The 22,211-nt window shown below is 46.5% G+C and overlaps 1 protein-coding gene across 1 annotated transcript in view; it reads right to left on the bottom strand.

The window, feature by feature from the left end:
* The window catches only part of DHCR24 (24-dehydrocholesterol reductase), a 37,569-nt gene that overhangs the window by 8,297 nt on the left and 7,061 nt on the right, over nt 1–22,211 (bottom strand). Inside the window, exons 3-6 of the mRNA NM_014762.4 lie at nt 18,019–18,124; nt 17,170–17,288; nt 13,427–13,690; nt 7,380–7,523 (exon numbers count right to left, since the gene is read on the bottom strand). Of these exons, the coding sequence (NP_055577.1) occupies nt 7,380–7,523; nt 13,427–13,690; nt 17,170–17,288; nt 18,019–18,124 (633 nt within the window). The remainder of the gene's footprint in view (nt 1–7,379; nt 7,524–13,426; nt 13,691–17,169; nt 17,289–18,018; nt 18,125–22,211) is intronic.

Raw genomic sequence — 22,211 nt, forward strand, 5'->3', positions numbered from 1 at the left:
TGCAGCTTGTTAAGGGGCTTAGCACGCAGGCCTGGTCACACTTGGTTCATTCCAGGGCCTTACTCATCAGGGAGGAACCTGGGGGAAAGGCCGCCAATGGGAGGAGAAGAGTTATCCCAGCAGAGGGGGGGAAAAGGCATGCATTTGAAATTGTTTATTCCTCCCCTCTAGAAATGTCTTGTCTTCTGCATTTCTACTGTAGAGGATGCTGCGCGCAGATGCCCGCTCCAGGGAGGCACCCGTTCCCCCAGCTGCACAGGGTGCTGACTGCTGACACTCAGGGAGAACTGCCCTTGGCAGAAGGGAGCTGCCTCATCCAAGGTCAGTCTGCACAATGACTGGTTGATGGGGCAGCATTTGGTATAAAGTCCTAGCCCACTGGCCTAAAGGTGACACAACTCTGGAGGGCCATCTTACCCCAGGGCTGCCTGTGGGTTAGCTGAGGTCTTCCTTGTGACTGCACCACAGCTTGACTTCTCCCTCTTCCCAGTCCCACTTCCCTACTACCACACAATGACAGATCAGCACAATGACAGATCCCTAGAGGTCTGAACGTTCACTTCCTGCATGCAAATGTAGGCTGAACACACCTATTCTTCCAGATTCTTCTTTTACCTGAAGGCAGTGTGGGCCAGTGTTTACTTAACAGAACAAATATGTAAGACAAACCTCATTTTGAATCCTAGCTCTGTGTAGCAGTTTTATTTTTATTTTTATTTATTTATTTATTTGAGATGGAGTTTCACTCTTATTGCCCAGGCTGGAGAGCAATGGCGCGATCTCAGCTCACCACAACCTCCGCTTCTGGGTTCAAGTGATTCTCCTGCCACAGCCTCCTGAGTAGCTGAGATTACAGGCATGCACCACCACATCTGGCTAATTTTGTATTTTTAGTAGAGATGGGGTTTCTCCATGTTGGTCAGGCTGGTCTCAAACTCCTGACCTCAGGTGATCCGCCCACCTCCGCCTCCCAAAGTGCTGGATTGCAGGTGTAAGCCACTGCGCCCGGCCTTCTGTAGCGGTTTTAACATATGCCCCTAGATTCTTTGCTAGTCCTTTCTCAAGAAGTGGAGCTCAGTGCCCCTCCCCTGAGTATGGGCTGGATTAGTGACTCTGATCTAATAAGGAGAATATGGTGGAAGTGAGAGGTGTGACCTACGACTGGGTCATAAAAGGCACTGCAGACTCTTCCTTGGTCTCTCTCTTGGATCACTTGCTCTGGGGGAAGCCAGCTGCTTTGTCATGAGGTCACTGGAGGAACCCATGTGGCAAGGAGGTAAGGTCTCTGGTCAACATCCATGTGAGCTGGAAGCAGATCTTCCAGCCCCAGTCAAGCCTCCAGATGACTACTGCCATAGCCCACAGCATGAGAGTCCCTGAGCCAGGACCACCCAGATCAGCCACTCCCAAATCCTTGACCTTCAGAAACTATGATATAATAAATGTTTGCTGCTTTAATCTCTAACTTTTGGTTTTGTTCATTATGCAGCAATAGATCACTAATACACTCATTCTCTGAGTTGTGTTATTTACTTTGTCTCCAACAGTTCCTTTTTTTTTTCTTATTTTTGAGACAGAGTCTCGCTGTTGCCCAGGCTGGAGTACACTGGCGTGATCTTGGCTCACTGCAACCTCCACTTCCTGGGTTCTCCTGCCTCAGCCTCCCTTGTAGCTGGGATTACAGGCATGCCCCAACCCACCTGGTTCATTTTTGTATTTTTAGTAGAGACAGGGTTTTGCCATGTTGACCAAGCTGGTAGTTACTTTGGATAACCTAATCCTCAGTATTCTCATCTATGGAATGGAAATAACACTAATATCTACTCTCAGAGGGTTGTTGGGAAGATGAAGATAATGCGTGGAAAGTGTTCAGCATTAACGTCCACCCACATTGGGAGTGGCTAATGTTAACCACTGCTGTTATCTTTCTGATCCTCTTTCACTAGTTCCTCTCCTTTCTCTTAACAAAACCACACTCCACAACCTTAACACTGCTCTTGGCAGGGATCAAGAAGGACTCATAGTGGCTTCTGCTTTTGGCAAAATTGCCCACCACCTGCTGTGGGCCTTGACATTGCCCAAGATTAAGACTAATGGGTGTGGGGGAGACCCCATAGCCCCTCCAGGCCATGATGAGACCCTCACCCCTACACTCCTCCACCCCTACCACCGCCCAATCACATTCTGCTTAAGATACTTGCCCAATGTCAGAACTGACCAATCACCCTCTCCTAGAAGCCCACCAGGTATAATTCCGTCATGCCTTACATTCTAATGTCCTTAGTCACCATGGCCTGCCAGATGCCTTGTTACTGTGATCTTAGCCTACTACAGCAATGCAGCATCTCTTAATCTGACTTCACTTGCCACTGCCCCACCGCCTTTCCTCTCAAGCCCTGCTCTCATGGTCTGACCTTAACAAAACCCTCTCCATTCTCAGTCTCTTCTCTGAACATTCCTCTCCCCTCCTTGTTAACTAGAACCCTGAAGCCCTCTTTAAGTGGTATCATTTTCTCCCCTACAACCCTCCTGCCACTGGGATACACGGAGGTGAGGTAGGGTCCCCCTGGCCCCTCATTACTGCTTCCAGATCTCTGTTCCTCCCCCATGCCCAGAAACCAACCTCAGAAACTTGGAAACATGTGCCCAATACCTCCTCTGATAACCATGGCTCCCCTCACTAGAGTGTGGATCACTGAATTCCCCGAATCCCATCATCCTTGGTTCCTTTCACCGGTTCCTGGAAAAACGTCACTTTCTTCAACATTAACTTTTGGTGAGGCCAGGCGCAGTGGCTCACGCCTGTAATCCCAGCACTTTGGGAGGCCGGGGCGGGCGGATCACGAGGTCAGGAGATCGAGACCATCCTGGCTAACATGGTGAAACCCCGTCTCTGCTAAAAATACAAAAAAAAATTAGCCAGGTGCAGTGGCAGGCGCCTGTAGTCCCAGCTACTCGGGGGGCTGAGGCAGGAGAATGGCATGAACCCGGGAGGCGGCACTTGCAGTGAGCCGAGATCCAGCCACTGCACCCCAGCCTGGGCGACAGAGCGAGACTTCATCTCAAAAAAGAAAAAAAAAAAAAAAAACTTTTGGTAATTTAAAACCCACAGAGAAGGTCCTGACCACGCCTGGCCTCTCTGCCCTTGGCCTTCTTTCTTTACATTCCAGTGATCTTATCTTCCACATGTCCTTGGCCACTGGCTCTCACAACATACCCTGGAGGAGGGGACAGAAATTACTACCCGTGGGGATCCAGTGTGGGAGCGGAAGTGAGCATGTGGCCTAGTGACTGTTTTTGTAAATTTGGTTTTACTGGGGCCAGTCATCCCTATTCATTTATGTACCATCCCTGGCTGTTTCCATGTGGCAGATCTGAGGAGCTGTGATAGATTCTGTAGCTTGGAATGCCTAAAATATTTGTTGTTTGGCCTTTTAGGAAAGTTTGCTGACCCCTAGGCTCTGTCACCCTGCCCTACATTCACAGTCTCCATAGCTTCCATTGCAAGTGTTTGCTCTCAGCCATCACCGCCTCTCTTCCTAGCTTACGCCCTCTAGTCCCCTGACTTCAATGCTCCACTCCACCCAGGGCATCCTGTCCACCATATCAGTCCCTTGTCAGTCCCTGGGGGCCTCTCACATCCGGCCTCCCCTCCATAGCTGGCTTAGATTTCATCATAACACACCCTTGGGTCCTCACTCTTGCCTACACATCACACTCCCTGCAAAACCTCAGCCATGGTTAAATATAACTCTCTGCCTACTCTGTACCCCAGCAACACAGATTCCTGGGTGAAAACCCACAAACACAGGGCTGGTCTCACTGTAAATTCATGAGTGTGAATCCCTGGTAGGCCCAGTGCTGCCTGGCAATGCCACAGTGTTTCCCCAGTTAACTCATTTCCCACTCTCCGAGGGACAGCTTCACATCTCTTCTCTCCTCAAACCATCAAAATCCTCTCCCCTTTCATCTCAGCTGAAATCCTTATTTCACTGAGAAAACAGAAGCAATCAGAAGAGAACTCCCACACCCTCCCACCACCCTATGGTCCTCCCATTAGTAGCAACTGTAGCCATTAGTACTGCTTCCCTCCTGACAACTGGATGAACTTTCCATGTGCCCATCAAAAGGCAGCCTCTCCACCTGAGCTCAGGAGCCACTCCACTCCCCTACTCAAGACTTCACCCTATCAATATACCCTCTCTTCTGCATTGTCATTTTCCCCTCCACTGGATCACTGTCATGACTGCCATCTCTCCCATCTTAAAGCAATCACACAGACAAAGTACCTTCACCTGGCCCCACACCCGCCTCCAGCCATCACCCTGTTTCTCTGCCTCTCTTGATAGTGAGCCTCAGGTTTGTTTTCACTGTGTCCACCGCCTTGTCTCCAGTTCTCTCTCAAACCCACTGGTCAAGGATTCACCCCTATTGCTTAAAGTCAATGATGACATTCCTATGGCCAAATCCAGAGGTCGAGTCTGTCTTCATCTCCTTCAGCAGCATGTGGCACAGTTGCTGGTCTTCCTCCTGAAACAGTCTTCCCTTAGCTTCCGGGATGCCACATCCTCCTGGTTTTGTTCCCCTGCCCTGGTTGACAGCACTTTCTCCTGCCCTTGGCTAGTTCCTCCTCCCCTAACCTGCAAGGTGTCCCAGGGTCTTCTCTATCTGCCCTCACTCATCTCCCTCCATGGCTTTAGAAAACATTTCTCTGTGGCTGAGAAATGTGTATATAGGGCTCCAACCTCCACTGAACTCCTGAAGTCCCGACACACGTCACTGGCTCCTGCTGTCATCCCACCTGGACATCTGAATGGCTTCTGATTCCCCTTTCCAGTCCCCTCCCCCATGTTTCAAATGGCAGTCAACCAGGCCGGGTGCGGTGGTTCACGCCTGTAATACCAGCACTTTGGGAGGCCGAGGCGGGTGGATCACGAGGTCAGGAGATCGAGACCATCCTGGCTAACATGGTGAAACCCCGTCTCTACTAAAAATACAAAAAATTAGCTGGGCGTAGTGGTGGGCGCCTATAGTCCCAGCTACTTGGGAGGCTGAGGCAAGAGAATGGCATGAACCCGGGAAGCGGAGCATGCAGTGGGCGAAATTGCGCCACTGCACTCCAGCCTGGGTGACAGAGCAAGACTCTGCCTCAAAAAAAAAAAAAAAAAAAAAAAAAAGGCAGTCAACCTTGGCCCTGAACCTTTGAATCACATCCACGGCCAATCTGTCTGGAAATCCTGCTGGTTGGTTCAGCCTGCACTGCATCTCCCAGATTTGACACTTCTCCTCTGCTGCTGCCCAGACAACAGTATCTTCTTTCTTCTACTCTTCCACTCTTGTCCACTCCCGTCCCCATCCACTCTATCCAGCTGTCACAGTTATTCTTTTAAAACAAAAATCAGGCCATGCCACTTTCCTGTTCAAAGCCCTCATTGGCTTCCTATTATACTTAGAATAAAATATAAAGTCCTTCCTAACCTACAAGGAGCCATATGATCTAGCCTCTGGTGCCTGTTTGACCTCATTCCTCACCATAGCTCAGCGTGGGCATGCTGGCTCCGAAGGCTTCTTGCTGTTTTTCAAACACATGCAGCCTTGCTGGGACACCTGGATAGCTATAAGCAAAAGAATGGAGCCTGGACTCCTACCCCACTCAACAACCTAAAGATTAGAGCTGCAACTATAAAGGTCTTTGAAGAAAACAAAGGGGCTTGGACTTGACAATAAATTCTTATATATGGCACTAAAAGCACAAACAAAAGGGAAAATAGATAAATTGGAATTCATCTAAATTAAAAACTTCTGTGCATCAAAGGACGTTACCAAGACAATGAAAAGAAACCTACAGAATTGGAGAAAATGTTTGCAGATCATATATCTGATGAGGGTCTAGTATCCAGAATACACAAAGAACTCTTACATCTCAACAACAAAGACAAATGACCAAATTTTAAAAGGTGGCAAAGGATTCAAATAGACTTTTCACCAAAGAAGATATACAAAACGGTTAACATGCATATAAAAAGATGCTCAGCATCATTAATTTCAAGGAAAATGCAAGTCAATACCATAAACCCACCAGAATGGCTATAATAATAATACTAATAATTTAAAAACCAGAAAATAACAAGTGTTGGTGAGAATGTTGAAAAAATAGAGCGCTCATACATTGCTGGTGGGAATGAAAAATGGCACAGCCTCAGTGGAAAAGAGTTTGGTTGTTGCTCAGAAAGTTAGACACAGAATTAGCATATGACCCAGCAATTCCACTCCTAGTTCTATATCCCAAAGAACTGAAAACAAGTATTCAAACAAATACATGCACATGAAGGTTTGTAGCAGCACTGTTCACAGTAGCCAAAAGGTTGAAACAACCCACATGTCCATCAACAGATGAGTGACAAAACAAAATGTGGTCTCTCATATAATGAACTACTATCCCGCCATAAAAAGAAATGAAATATTGATACATGAAAACATTATGCTATGTAAAAGAAGCCAGTCACAAAAGGCACATACTGAATGATTCCATATATGTGAAATATCCAGAATAAGTAAATCTGCAGAGACAGAAGATGAATTGGTGGTTGCCACAGGCTGGGGAAAGGGGAGAGAATAGGGAGTGGCTGCTTAATGGGTATAGGGTTTCCTTTTCAGAGATGAAAATGTTTGGAACTACACAGAGGTAGTGGTTGCACAACACTGTGAATGTACTAAACTACCCTGAACTGTCCATTTTATAATGTTTAATTTCCTGTTAGCCCAGCTCAAGCCCTGGGCTCTGGCTGTCCCTCTGCCTGTGAACAGAGTTCCAGAGTCCTCCCCAGAGTTGTTCCTGGTCTGCCTTCCCTATGTTCAGGTCCCTGCTCACAAAGTCATCTCCTGAGGGGTTCTTCCTGACCTTCCCCCACTTAAAGTGTCACTGCTCCTCATCCACCCACCCATCTACACATGCAACAGCAAATTCTCACTCACCTTTCACAGCCAGGCTTGGCTGTTACCTCGAGCCCTAGGCAGAACTAGCCACTTCCTACTAATGTTCCTGCGGCCCTTTACAGTGCAGGGATCTGTCTGCTCACCGTGGCTAGAGGCTAACCCTTCCTCAAGGGCGGAACAGGTCTGTGTTCCCCAAAGTACCGGCCCAGGGGCTTACTCCCCAGCACCAAGCAGATGCTTGCTAAGAGCCTGCTGCTTGAACTGAAGGTAGTTGGTTCCTTCAGAAGGAAACGACTGTGTTGCTGCTTAAGAAGGCATTGCAGTTCCTTAGGACAAAGCCACTCTTTACCCTGAAGGGAGAGAGTATGGCTACAGTGTTAACTGTCCGGGCTCCCTGCCCAGCTGGCCTGGAGGAGCCAGGGCTACAGAAACCTAAGCCTCACCTGGAGCTCCCAGAAGATGCTGCGCGTGTGGCGGTGGTAGTAGTGTCTCAAGGGAATGTACTCCAGGCCCTCTCGGTTTGTCTTCAGATAGTTCTCCACATGCTTAAAGAACCACGGCTTGTAGTAATTGCCAATGCTATTCAGCTGAAATGACAGAGGGCATTGTGATCAGCCTGCAGACAAGCGCCCAGCACCATCGGGGTGTAACAGCGACACCCGGCTTCTGTTCAGCACTCCTGGCCTTTTCAAAGCTCTTTCATGTCTATTACTGCCTTTGAGACTCTTGAAAGCTGGTGAGGTTAGGCACAGCGGGTATCCTCTAGCAGAGAGAGCAGGAGCTCAAAGAGGTTAAGTGGTGTGTGCCCAGGGCCAAACAGTGAGTCCCCGACAGTCTAGAGAACTCAGCGACCCCGCCTAGCCTGGTGCAAGTGTTTAACAGAGTTAAACATTTAACTGCCCTGATGCAGTGCCCCATGCAGGGGAATTCCCTCCCTCCCTCCCTTCCCACCTTCCCCAAGGCCAGGGAAGCACGAACTCTGGGAATGGGTCAGCCCCTCAGTGCAACCCAGGGCTCATGGCACCAACTGGTCATGGCACTTTCCCTGCTGTCCCTGGACCAAGCTCCACAGTCCTCCGGGTACAGCACTCCCCAGGCAGCCACCATCGTCTGGAGGATGCTCACATGAATAAGGCTCATACCTCCCTGGCCCTGGGGGCTCCCACACCCAAATCTTCTATTGAGCTGATGTCTCCTGCAGCCCTAAATGGTCATGACTCAATGTGCTGTGTGCCTTGGGATGGCTGAGCTTCTCCTGGCCTCAGCTTCCTCATCCATAAATGAATTCTGGCAGATGCTCTCGGGGAGAGGCAGGGGGGATCCTGGAAAAGCACAAGCTTTAGGGTGGGCAGCTGGGGACACACCCAGGCAGGTCATCTCTGAGCCTGTTTCTTCACATGTAACATGACAATAAAAATACATACTTTGTGGGAGTTATTTGTCTATTAGAAATTACATACATATGCCCACTGTTTTTAAAAAATAGGACCATCTTTTTTTTTTTTTTGAGACAGAGTCTCGCTCTGTCGCCCAGGCTGGAGTTCAGTGGCACGATCTTGGCTCACTGCAAGCTCCACCTCCCTGGTTCACGCCATTCTCCTGCCTCAGCCTCCTGAAAAATGGGACCATCTTACACGTACTGTTTGCCAATTTGCTTTTTCCATTTACAACACACTTAGCAGAGCCTAGGCAGGTTACTTAGCATTTCTGGAAGACTAAAAGAGATGATGTAGAAAGTGCCAAGCACGGTGCCTGGTCCACAGGTGGCTGAAGTATCAGTCCCCACCCATTCCCTTGTTGACCTGCTCTACCCTACAGCCAGGCAACCCTTTGCCGTGGATCTCTGGCCTCCAGCACTTGCAGCTTATCTGTGTGCCACCCGCTTGTGCAGGCCCACCCTGCTGGTAAGGCCACCCTGCTGGTGAGGCCACTCTGCAGGGAGGAAACTGGGGCTAAAGAGCCTCTTTGCCCAAATTAGTTTTGGTGTGGATGGTATGGGGCAGCGCAAAAAACACTCACGCTGGCCTCTGCCTGCTAATGTGAACAGGGGAACCCAGCAGGAAACAGAGCAACCTGATCTAACCCCAGGTGAGGTGTGTCACATACCTGGCAGTGGCAGCAGCTGCATAATGAAAGTGAGACTTAGGGCCACCTGGATACAGGCGCTCCTGGTGCTCACTGATGCATCAGGAGCCATGCAGAGAAGCCCAGGACATGGGAAAGAACCCAGATAGTCTGTCTTTTCCAGGCACACACCAGCTGAGGAGGCCAGGTGGCTGCATGAGCTCCAGTCCACCCCAGCCCTTGACTGCAAGCCACTTCCTATCTCTGGGCCTCCTCTGTGAAATGGGGGTAGGCTGCTTCTCACAGGATTGCAGCAATGTTTACACGGGGCAGTGCCTGCAGAGGGCCCATCACAGGGCCTGGCACACAGGGACAAATTCCTGAATGCTTAGAAACAGAAATGTTTGGAAGCAATGCTTCTAAAATGAAATGCCCAGATGTCTAATGGCATCCACCACTCTGCCCCAGCCCTGTTCCCTCAGGTATCAGGGTCTTGCTCACTGGGGCACTTGGCAAATATCCCTCTGCTGCTGATTCTGGGAGGGCCTTTGGGTAAGGCTCTCTGTGCCTCACAGTCTTCTCCTTGGGAAATAAGGGAATCAGATCAGGTCTCCAAATATTTCAAAAGCTGGGCAAACCCCTCTGCCAAATCATAATCTTAGGGAGCATCTAATACATCAAATGGATGGCAGCAGAGCCACTTTGGGTACAGTGGGGGTGGTGACTCCCCTTGGTCCCATCCCTCCTCAGCTTTCCTACCCCTGAGAGCCTCAAGGGAACACCTCAGAGCAGCTGGAAAGCTCTGGTCTAGATGTCCTTGCTAGGTGACTTGGTGCTAGGTGACACACACTGTCTGAGCTTTGGCCTCAGGCAGATCCAGGGGCCCAGGAGGGCCAGAGCACTTCAGCTCAATGTCCGGTATTGCCACCGCTGTTCCAGGACCTCCAGCACTTACCGCAGTGTCCCACAGGGAGCAATGTTTGCATAGTGCTAAAGTCTGCAGGCTGATATGTCAGGGAACCGACACTGAACCAGGAGTCAGAAGCTGGAATTTAAATCTGTTCTGTGCTAGCTGTGTGTCTTCAGAGAAGTCTCTTTCCCTTTCTGGGCCTCATTTCCTTATTTGTAGAGAGGATTGTACCGGATGATTTTATAGCCCTTCACAACTTTAAAATGTTTTAAGTATGTATATAGGTATAGATTAAGAGTCTTAAGGGATGCCTATCCTTTGATCTGCGATTTTATGTTAAGATATTACTCCAATTGGCCGGGCGCAGTGGCTCACGCCCGTAATCCCAACACTTTGGGAGGCCGAGGTGGGTGGATCACGAGGTCAGGAGATCGAGACAATCCTGGCTAACACAGTGAAACCCCATCTCTACTAAAAATACAAAAAATTAGCCGGGCGTGGTGGTGGGCGCCTGTAGTCCCAGCTACTTGGGAGGCTGAGGCAGGAGAATGGCGTGAACCTGGGAGGTGGAGCTTGCAGTGAGCCGAGATCCCGCCACTGCACTCCAGCCTGGGTGACAGAGCGAGACTCTGTCTCAAAAAAAAACAAAAGATATTACTCAAATTACAGACAAAAGATGTTCATTGCTCCATTAATTAAAGTAATAAAAAAATTGGAAGCAACTTAAATTTCCAACTATGGGCAGCAATAGGGCATTCATTTCCTCAGTGCAAGGTGCAATGCAAGGTTGGCCATTCTAATTGGGATTCTTTAATTCTAATAAGAATGGACATTAACAGTGATGGTTATGAAGGCAATGTAATAGTTCTAATAAAAGATGGATATTAACAATGACGGTTATGAAGGCAATGTAACAACAGGGGGAAATGCTTATCACAATAAACAAGAAAAAGGCTGGGTGCAGTGGGTCACGCCTGTAATCCCAGCATTTTGGGAGGCCGAGGCAGGCGATCACCTGAGCTCAGAAGTTCAAGACCAACCTGGGCAACATGGCGAAACCCCGTCTCTACTAAAAATACCAAAATCAGCCAGGTGCAGTGGCATGCGCCTGTATTCCCAGCTACTCGGGAGGCTGAGACAGGAGAATTGCTTGAGCCTGGGAGGTGGAGGTTGCAGTGAGCCAAGATCGCACCATTGCACTCCAGTCTGGGTGACAGAGTGAGACCTTGTCTCAAAACAAAAAACAATAAACAAGAAAAGACAAATGTGAACCAAGTGATCACTGCTGAAGACAAACAAACTGCAAAATGCTGCAAAGAGAGGCTCACCCTCACAAGTGATCCAAGAACTGCAAAATAAAACGAGATACTATTTTTAACGCTATCAGATTGGCAAAAATGAAAGAGTGATCCTATTTAGTGTTGGCAAGAATGTAGGGAAAAAGGTGTTCTCACAGACCATTACTACAAGTAGGCATAAACACAGCTCTTCTCGAGGGCTGTTTGGTCATATCTATTAATATTTAATGTGCTCAAACCTTTGTGTAACAAAGTCCATTTTTCTGACTCAATCCTACACAAATATTTGTACAGAAGGACAGGATAAATGTGAGTCTTAAATCTTCAATGCAATCTTATTTGTAAGAGCAAAACAGTTTATGCAACATAAATGTCAGTAAGGGCTAAATTAGGCCAATTATTTACATGCAAAAATGGGATATTACAGAATGAAATGAAGACATGCACACATACATATACACACACACACACACAGAGAAATAGGTCTCGGCTGGGTGTGGTGGCTCACACCTGTAATCCCAGTACTTTGGGAGGCTGAGGTGGGAAGACTGCTTGAGGCCAGGAGTTCAAGACTAGCCTTGGCAACATAGCAAGACCCCATCCCTACAAAAAAATTTTAAAAATTAAAAAATTAACCAGGCCGGGCACAGTGGCTCGCACCTGTAATCCCAGCACTTGGCTTGGGAGGCCAAGGCAGGCAGATCACCTGAGGTCAGGAGTTCGAGACCAGCCTAGCCAACACGGTGAACTCCATTTCTACTAAAAATACAAAAATTAGGCAGGCATGGTGGTGCATGCCTGTAATCCCAGCTACTTACGAGGCTGAGGCATGAGAATCGTGTGAACCTGGGAGACAGAGGTTGCAGTGAGCTGAGATCACGCGCTGCACTCCAGCCTGAGCGACGGAGTGAGACTCCATCTCAAAAAAAAAAAAAAAATTTTTAACTGGACATGGTGGCACACGCCTGTAGTCCCAGCTACTTAGGAGGCTAAGGCAGGAGGATTGCTTGAGCCCTGGAGTTCAAGGCTACAGTGAGCTGTGATCGTACCACTGTACTCCAGTCTGGGCTACAGAGACCCTGTCTCAAAAAAAAAAACAATAAGAAAATAAATAAATAAAAATAAATAGGTCTCGAAGAATGCACACAAAACTGTTATACGTAAGTGGTTACACCCTGGCGTAAAGAGATGCACTTTAACTTTTTCTTTATATATTTCAGCATTGTTACATTACTTTTATAATTTAAAAACTTTCAAAAAAATCCATACAGAGAAAGAGGAAATAAATACAGTTGTCTCTCAGTATCCATGGGGGATTTGTTCCAGGATCCCCCAAAATCCATGAATGCTCAAGTCCCTTACATAAAATGATTTAGTATTTGCATATAACCCTATGCACATCCTCCTGTATACTTTAAATCATCTCTAGATTTCTCACAATACTTAATACAATGTAAATGCTATGTAACAGTTAAGGAATAATGACAAGAAAAAAAGTCTGTCCATGTTCATTTCAGATGAAACCATCCGTTTTTTGGCCCCTGAACGCTTTCAATCTGCAGTTGGTTGAATCCACTGTTGTGGAACCCACAGATACAAGGGGCCAACTGTGTACCAAACACATTAGCAACACTGGCTTTGGGACATATTTACAGGTGGAGTCTTTTCTTTCCTTTTTACTTGTTTGTACCTTCCAAGTCTCTTACAATAAGCACAAATCCTTTCCAAGTCTCTTACAATAAGCACAAATCCTTTCTAAATGGAGAAAAAACTGCTAATAAAAATTGCATGGTATATGTGGAAGGAATGTCAATCTAGATTCCAAGGCATCAAATCGATTACTCGAATCTTGTGGAAGTTTACATTACCTCTTTTAAGTGTTGGGATTACAGGTGTGAGCCACTGTGCCCAGCCTACATTACCTCTTGAAGACTCAGTTTCCTCATCTATAAAATGGGTTTGCTATAAGGACCAAAGATTACATCCACTAAGAGACAAGCACATCCCAGGCAGGTGGTAGGGGCAGAGTAGATGAAAGCTTCCATCACTGTCTAATACATTTCTGATGATAGATCCTGTTGCCTGTACCCCAGGTGGGTTGACCCAGGCAGCAGCCTTGAAGAGGTGGCTGCCAGGGTCAGGATACGGGAACCGGCTCAGTCCTAGCACACTCATGCCTCCCCAGTCTTGGTCAGCAGCAGCTGACACCCTGGCTTACCTTGCTGGGCTCTGCCTCATCTGTCATGACCCCTGTCATAATGACAGCCTCATCCAGGGAGTAGAGCAGCCCTTCCACGAAGTGGTTCTCCTGCCGCTGGGACTCGTGGGTGAACTTGGCACAGATAGCCTCCAGGCCCCGCACTGGCTCGAAACGCAGCTTGACGTACTTCTTGGCAGGGATGATGCGGATCTCAGCGGCCACCAGGAAACCCAGCGTCCCACAGGACCAGGGTACGGCATAGAACAGGTCTGAGTTTTCGGACTGTGAGACAGAATTGATGTGTTGTGAGCTGAAACCTTGGGCCCCACATTGTGGCATGCAGTCAGTGGGGGAGCAAAGCCTGGGAGAGTCCCTATTCTCTCACTCTCTTGTATAAACCCAAACAATGAGCTTTACAAACTGTGCTTGCTGGGCTTTAGTTTCCTCCCTGCAGCTTCGACATGACATGGAACCTAATACTGCCCTCTGTCTCAGGGACCCTCACTGAGAGAGCATCCTCCTTCTCCCATCTAGGTACAGCCCCTGACCCAGAGGCTATTCAGGAAAAAGCTGGGACTGGCACTGCTGCCCAACGACCCACAATGGCAGGGGCATTGCACAAGGGCAGGAGTCCAAGGCCAGGCCTTGACACCCTTTAGTGGGTGTCAGGCAGTGTAGCTGGGGAACATTAAAATGCCTCCCTTCTGAACCATTACTAAAATTTACAAGGCCTTTCCCAGTCCATCGGCTTGTGGGATCCACCCCCGACAGAGCCCAGGGAGAGCGCTAGCACCCCCTTATGACAAGTAAAGAAACTGAGTCTCTCAGAGCTGCCATGACTCACCAAAGTCTTCCCAGAAAAGTCAGCTGCAGCAATGCCAGGGCTCAGGCAAGACCACCTAACTCCCCGGCCAGCGTTTTTCCTACAACACCTCATCTGCTTCCATAAATCAATGTCCAACCTCATCATTTTATTGTTTTGACATTTGTCTTGGACACAGACAACTGACTTTTCCTTGGCCATTCTGATTGGGATTCTTCAGTTCTAGTAAAGAAAGCTCTTTTGAAAAAGTCCAGCCATGTCTTGCCTTTACTAAGAGGACAGCCCTGTGCAGTCTCCACAAAACCTGAATGCTCTTGGTGGTGGGCACAGTGAATGCAGCAGGGCAGGAGAGCTGGAGCAAGGAGGCTCTGCAGCAGGCTGGCAGAAACCTCAGGAACAGCAGCACTACGCTCACCAATTCCCCCTTGGGCCCACAGCTAATCACATTCTCCTGGCCATGGCAGTGAAGATGACACACTTGCTGCATGCTGAGCTCTATGCAAGGAGCTTCCCATACAGGACCTACTTATTCCTCTCAACCACATATTTGTCAGTGAGGAACCTGGGCCTCAGAGAAGGGAAAGAATTCACAAATGTCAGTCTCCTTTCTCTGCCGATAATAAATAGGTCAAAAGACAGGGCCCCGCAAGCGTTCAGGAAAGCAGGATGAATTGATGTGAATCTTGCTAGGGGTATCTCTCATCCAAGACCAGTGCTGCCAAGCTGGGAGTCTTTCCTTGGGCCCTCTTCTGTGAAGTGAAGGAGTCGGGTGGCTCCCTGAAATACCCACTTCAACAGGACCAACTGTCCCTCCCATCCCAGGGGTCCCTCACACCTGCCAGGACAGATCCAAGGTTATTTAAAGTGTCACTCCTATCCCACCCCTTAGGTAAAACGCTTTAAATGTTTGAATCCCAGTTTGGGTGGTAGAAGTGTTTCTTATTTTTCTAAAACATCCTCTCTAATCACTTTTACTTACACGATTACGTGCTACATAAAGACGTTGCAGTCAACAATGGGCCACAGATAAAATGGTGGTCTCATAAGATTATAATGGAGCTGAAAAAGTCCTGTTGCCTAGTGGTATCACTGCTATCACAGCTATCCTAATGTCATACTCATGTGTTTATGGTAACACTGGTGTAAGCAAACCTACTGTACTGCCAGTTGTATAAAAGTATAGCACATATAATTATGTACACTACATAATACTTGATAATGATAAATGACTCTGTCATTGGTTTATGTATTCACTACACTACACTTTTAATTGTTATTTTAGAGTGTACTCTTTCTGCTTATTAAAAAAAAGTTAACTGTAAACAGCATCAGGCAGGTCCTTCAGGAGGTATTCCAGAAGAAGGCATTGTTGTCAGAGATGACAGCTCCATGTGTGTTATTGCCCCTGAAGACTTTCCAGTGGGACAAGATGCGGAAGTGGAAGCGTTATTGATAATCTTGACTCTGTGTAGGCCTAAACTAACATGCGTTTATGTCTTGACCTTTTTTCTTTGAGACAGGGTCTTGCTCTGTCACCCAGGCTAGAGTGCAGTGGCGTAATCACGGCTCACTGCAATCTCTGCCTCCCAGGCTCAAGTGATCCTCCTGCTGCAGCCTCCACAGTAGCTGGAAATACAGGAACACATCACCATGCCCAGCTAATTTTTGTATTGTTTGTAGACCATGTTGTAGGCCATGTTGCCCAGGCTGGTCTCAAACTGCTAAGCTCAAGCAGTCCACCTGCCTTGGCCTCCCAAAGTGCTGGTATTACAGGAGTGAGCCACTGCACCCAGCCTTGTGTCTAAGTTTTTAACAAAAAAACTTTAACAAGTTAAAAAAAAAGTTTAAATAGAAACAAGCTTATAGAATAAGGATATAAAGAAGGAAACTATTTCTGTACACCTGTACAATGTGTTTGCATTTTAAGCTAAGTGTTATTACAAGAGTCAAAAGTTTTTAAAAAGTTTATAAAGTAAAAATGTTATAGTAAGCTAACAGTATTTATTATTGAAGAAAGAAAATTTCAAAAAATAAATTTAGTGTAGCCTAAGTGTACAGTGTTTATAAAGTCTACAGTGGTGTACAGTAATGTCCCAGGACTTCACATTCACTCACCACTCACTCACTGACTCACCCAGAGCAACTTCCAGTCCTGCAAGCTCCATGCATGGTAAGTACGCTACATAGGTGTACCATTCATCTTTTATACTGTATTTTTACTGTACCTTTTCCAAGTATAGGTATGTTTAGATACATAAATACCATTGTGTTACAGCTGCCTACAGTATTGAGCACAGTACCATGCTGTATAGGTCTGTAGTCAAGGAGTAGTAGGCTATCCAAATAGCCTACGTGTGAAGTAGGCTATCTCATCTAGGTTTATGTAATTACACTCTTATGATGTTTGCACAATGACAAAATTGCCTACAACTTGTTTCTTATAACATATCCCTACTGTTCTGTGACACATGACTGTACCTCACAGTGTTAAGACACACAGCTTTGATGCCAAGGCCTGACTTCCTCTCCAGAGAGGCAGGATGGCATAATGAACGGCTAAGGGACCTGGGAGCCTGATTACTGGGGTGTGAGTCCCAGCTGTGTGACCTATGGCAAATAATCTCTCTGAGCTTTAGTTTCCTATCTATAAAATAGGGATAATAATCCTTCTATTATTTAATAATAATCTATAAAATAGGGATAATAAACCTCCCTCATTAGGTTGTTGAAGGATAACATGCATGCCTTAATATATATAATGGATTTACAACATTGCCTAAGCTCATATAAGGGGCTACACAAATTTTTGTTTACAGATATAGACCCAGACTGAACAGGTACTGGGAATGAAGCACACCTAGAGGAGCCACCTCCCTGACCTCAGGATCCTTAATGCCCAGAGCAGGCTGGCATGGACATCTCCCATTGCTGAACTCACCGGAGTGCATCGCACAAAGCTGCCATCAGCCAGGACCAGCTCGTAAGCAGTGCAGATGTGTTGGAACAGGCCGTACTTGTGGGATGATGACTCGATGCCTGTGCCCATGATCAAGCCCCCTGCAGAGACATCACACACAGTGTCAGCAGGGAGAGCTGTGGGTACAGGGTTGGGGGTGGGTTGGAGCTGGGGGGCCTCCTAGCATGAGGGAGGTTTGGCAGGCTAGCAGAAATGGGGCTGTTGACTTAGGGGAGATTTCCCACCTGTCAATCTAGAGAGCAGGAGAGGGAAGGAGGGGCTCAGATGGGAGCATGAGGGTGTCCTTAGAGGAAGGGAGTGGCGAGCAGACCTTGTCAAGTGTACTCACACCTCACCTCTGGCCAGACTCAACCTAGAAATCTGTGTGCATTCATCTTGAGAGGGACTTTAATGAAAAGGGGGGTTGAAGGGGTGACAGGAAGCCCTGTCCCATGGGAATAGTTAAAAGAACTGAAGGTGTTTTCCCTGAAGAAGAAGAGGCTTTGGGGGCTATGAATCCTATGGGAGGAGAAGAGAGACTATACTTATTCTGTGTGTTCCATGGGGGGGAATTGGAGCAATGGGAACAAGTCACAGGGAAGCAGATTCAAACCAGAAATTAAAAGTGCCTTCTGATAACTTGAGCTGCTCAGAAATGGAACAGCAGGCAGTGAACACCCTGTCATTGGAGCAGGCAAGTAAGAGACTGAATGACTTCTGTCACAGATGGAATAGCGGCAATTCCAGGACTAGATGGAGGGTGGCCAAGGCCCATCAGCTCCGGTCCTAGGACCGTGTGTCTCTTCTTGCCCGTTAATATAGGGTCCTCACCCACTGTGAGGTCATCAAGCTCAGGCAACACGGGGAGAGTCCAGCCAATGGAGGTCAGCAGGGCAGTCACCTGGCCCATGGTCACCAAGGGCTCCACACGGACAATCTGTTGACACAAGAAAAGAGACCCTGGGTCAAAAGGAGGCTGCCAGGCCCAAGGGGAGCTGCTGCACACAGAAGGTGTCATCTCAAACCTTCCCAAACACTCACTGCAGGGATTCCTATATAGCCTTTACAGGCTCTTTCTAGAACATTGCCTTTAATTACAGGGAATGTGATTTCTGGCTCTCGGTTAGCTAGTGTTCAACCTCGCCCTTCAAGTATCTTTATACTAAATATTTGACTTAACCTTTTCTAAATTACAGGAGAAATACTCATTCACTTAGAAGATACAGCAAAAGTGAAGAAGAAAACAAAAATCACCCATCCTGGCTGGTCGTGGTGACTCATGTCTGTAATCCCAGCACTTTGGGAGGCCAAGGCAGGTGAATCATCTGAGTTCAGGAGTTTGAGACCAGCCTGGCCAACTTGGTGAAACCCTGTTTCTACTAAAAATACAAAAATTAGCCAGGCGTGGTGGCGGGCACCTGTAGTCCCAGCTGCTTGGGAGGCTGAGGCAGGAGAATCACTTGAACCTGGGAGGTGGAGGTTGCAGTGAGCCGAGATCGTGCCACTGCACTCCAGCCTAGGCAACAGAGTGAGACTCCGTCTCAAACAAACAAAAAAAAAATTCACCCTTCCTAGTTCTTCAGAATTACTAATGTTAATAACACAGTGTATTTACTTTGGTTTTTTTTTCCCCACACATACTGTATTGGTACTGTGAACCGCAAATATCAGAGACAGGTCTCAGTTAATCCAGAAAGTTTATTTTGCCAAGATTGAGGATGTGCGCCTCTGATACAGCCTCAGTACGTCCTGACAACATGTGCCCAAGGAGGCTGGTGCACAGCTTGATCTTACACATTTTAGGGAGACAGAACACATCAATCAATATATGTAAGAAGTATAGTGGTTCTGTCCAGGAAGGCGGGGACAACTTGAAGCAGGGAGAGGGCTTGCGGTCACAGGTAGATAAGAGACAAATGGCTGCATTCTTTTCAGTTTCTGATAAGCCTTTCCAAAGGAGCTAATCAGAATATGCATCTATCTCAGTGAGCAGAGGGATGACTTTGAATAGAATGCGGAAGCAGGTTTGTCCTGAGCAGTTCCCAGCTTGACTTTTCCCTTAGTTTAGTAATTTGGGGGCCCCAAGATTTTCCTTTCACACTATTTTGTATGTTTTAAACACAACACACACAAACCAAAAGCATATCTCATTTTCTGTTTTGCCTTTTTAAAATTTAACACTATACTATGACCATCATCTCTTATCATTACACATTCTTGGAACACATGATTTTTAATGTATACATCCCTTGGACTTCTACTTCTAGCCGAAGTGGAATAACAGGAACCACATTTACCCTGCTGCCTGAAAAAAAAACCTGACAAAATATATGAAATAAGAGTTTTCAATGCAGTGGACATAAACAATTAAAGTTAGTGATCCCTCAGAGACAGGAAACAAGGTGAGCTCTGAGGCGGGAGGACTGCTTGAGGCCAGGGGTTCGAGACCAGCCAGGACAACATAGCAAGACCTAAAAATAAAAAAATAAAAAATTATTTTAAAAAAAGGTGAGCTCTAGGGATGGCCCATTTAACTGCCTGGAGTTAGGCAGTGCAGGGAGGGAAACCCAGGTGGTGGAGTCCAGTGGACTTTCTAAGAGTTAAAAAGATGGAGGTGAGGCTGGGCATGGTGGCTCACGCCTGTAATCTCAGCACTTTGGGAGACCGAGGTGGGTGGATCACCTGAGGTCAGGAGTTCAAGACCAGCCCGACAACATGGCAAAAACCTCCCTCTGCTAAAAATACAAAAAATTAGCTGGGTGTGGTGGCAAGCGCCTGTAATCCCACTTACTCAGGAGGCTGAGGCAAGAGAATCACTTGAACCCATGGAGGTTGCAGTGAGCCAAGACTGTACCACTGCACTCCAGCCTGGATGACAGGGCGAGACTCTGTCTCAAAAAAAAAAAAAAAGAGGTGAGAGTTCCAGAAGACCAAGGTGAATACAGTGTGCAGGACAGAGTACTGGAGAGGAGAGAGTTGCACAGAGAAAAAACTGAAGAAATGCAAAAGGCGTCCTTGGGAATTCAACTGAGTACTAATCGGTAAATACACATGAGGCTATTACCTGAGGCTGAAGCCAGGGAAAAAACTGCCAGAAAAGACAACAGGTAATAGGCTAGGCATGGTGGCTCATGCCTATAATCCCAGCACTTTGGGAGGCCAAGGCAGGTGGACCACCTGAGGTCAGGAGTTTGAGACCAGCCTGGCCAACATGATGAAACCCCGCCTCTGCTAAAAAAAAAAAATACAAAAAATTAGCTGGGCGTGGTGGTGGGTGCCTGTAATCCCAGCTACTCAGGAAGCTGAGGCAGGAGAATCACTTGAATCCGGGAGGCGGAGGTTGCAGTGACCCGAGATTGCACCACTGTACTCCAGCCTGGGCAACAAGAGTGAAACTCTGTCTCAAAAAAAAAAAAAAAAAAAAAAAAAAAAAGATAATAGGTAATAGTACCAGGGACTCACACAGGGCAGGAGATAGTGTCTGTTCCCACAAGCCAGACTAGAAAACTTGATGATTCACAGGGCACTGTGTAGAGTACTCAAAATGATCTTGCCTCATAATAAACTCAAGATTAAATACTTCCCTGGCCCCATCTAAAAAATTGAGACCCAGTGGGATCAAACTATTTCCAAGTAACTTAGCTGCCTCCTAGAGCAAAACTCAAAATTTATAGGAACATAAAAATACCCAGCTCCCCAAAAGGTAAAATGTCAGAGTATCACAATGTCAGAATCCAATAGAATTTTACCAGGCATACAGAGGCAGAAAAATTCAACCCATAATGAGAAAAATCAATCAATCAAACAGACCCAGAACTGACATAGATATTAGAATTAGTGAACAGGGACATCAAAACATTTATAATAACTATATTCTCTATATTCGAAAATTTAACTAGAGACATTAAGAATATATTAAAAAGATCCGGCCAGGTGCAATGCCTCACACCTGTAATCCCAGTGCTTTGGGAGGCCAAGCCAGGCAGATCACCTGAGATCAGGAGTTGAAACCAGCCTAGCCAACATGGCGAAACTCCGTCTACTAAAAATACAAAAAAATTAGCCAGGCGCGGTGGTGCGCATCTGTAATCCCAGCTACTCGGGAGGCTGTGACAGGAGAATCGCTGGAACCCAGGAGGTGGAGGTTGCAGTGAGCCGAAATCACGCCACTGCACCCAGTCCAACCTGGAGGACAGAGCAAGACTCCATCTGAAAAAAAAAAAAAAAAAAAAAAAAAAAAAATCCAAATCAAACTTCTGGAAATGAAAACCACAATGTCTGAAATGAAAGATACAATGGATGGCACTAATAGCAAATTAGAAATCGCAGAAGAAAAGATTAGTTAACTTAAATACACAGCAACAGAAACCAACCAAAATGAAAGAGAGGAAAAAAATTTCTTTTAAATGAACAGTGCCTCAATGACCTGAGCTGTAGAACAACTTGAAATGGCCTAGCTGTCTCTAAACTAGATGAGAAAAAGGAGGGGACAGAAAAACAGATGAAGAAATAATGGCCCCCAAATTTCCTGATTTGATGAAAAATTATGCCAAATTCCAAACAAGAATTATGAATAAAACTATACCAAAGCACATCATAATAAAATTGCTCAAAACTAGTGATAAAAAATCAACATACTTCTAAATAATCCATGGGTCAAAGCAGACATCAAAAGGGAAATCAAAGTATTCTGAACTGAAATAAAAAGAAAACATATAGAAATTTGTGAGCTGCCTCTAAAACAGTGCTTAGGGGAAAATTTATAGCACTAAACATTTATATTAGAAAAAAAAGGTCTAAGTCAATGACTTAAACTTTAACCTTAAAAAACTGGAAAAAGAGTAAAATTAAACCCAATGTAAGAAAAGAAATGAAATAATAAAGACCAAAGCAGAAATCAATGAAATTGAAAACAACACACACACACAAAGGGAAAAATCAATGATATCAAAGCTAGCTTTTGAGAAGATCAATAAAATTCAATAGCCTTTAGCCAGACTGTTCAGGAAAAAAAGAGAACAGAA

Source organism: Homo sapiens, chromosome 1, assembly GCF_000001405.40.
Source record: "Homo sapiens chromosome 1, GRCh38.p14 Primary Assembly".
NCBI classification, from domain to species: Eukaryota; Metazoa; Chordata; class Mammalia; order Primates; family Hominidae; genus Homo; species Homo sapiens.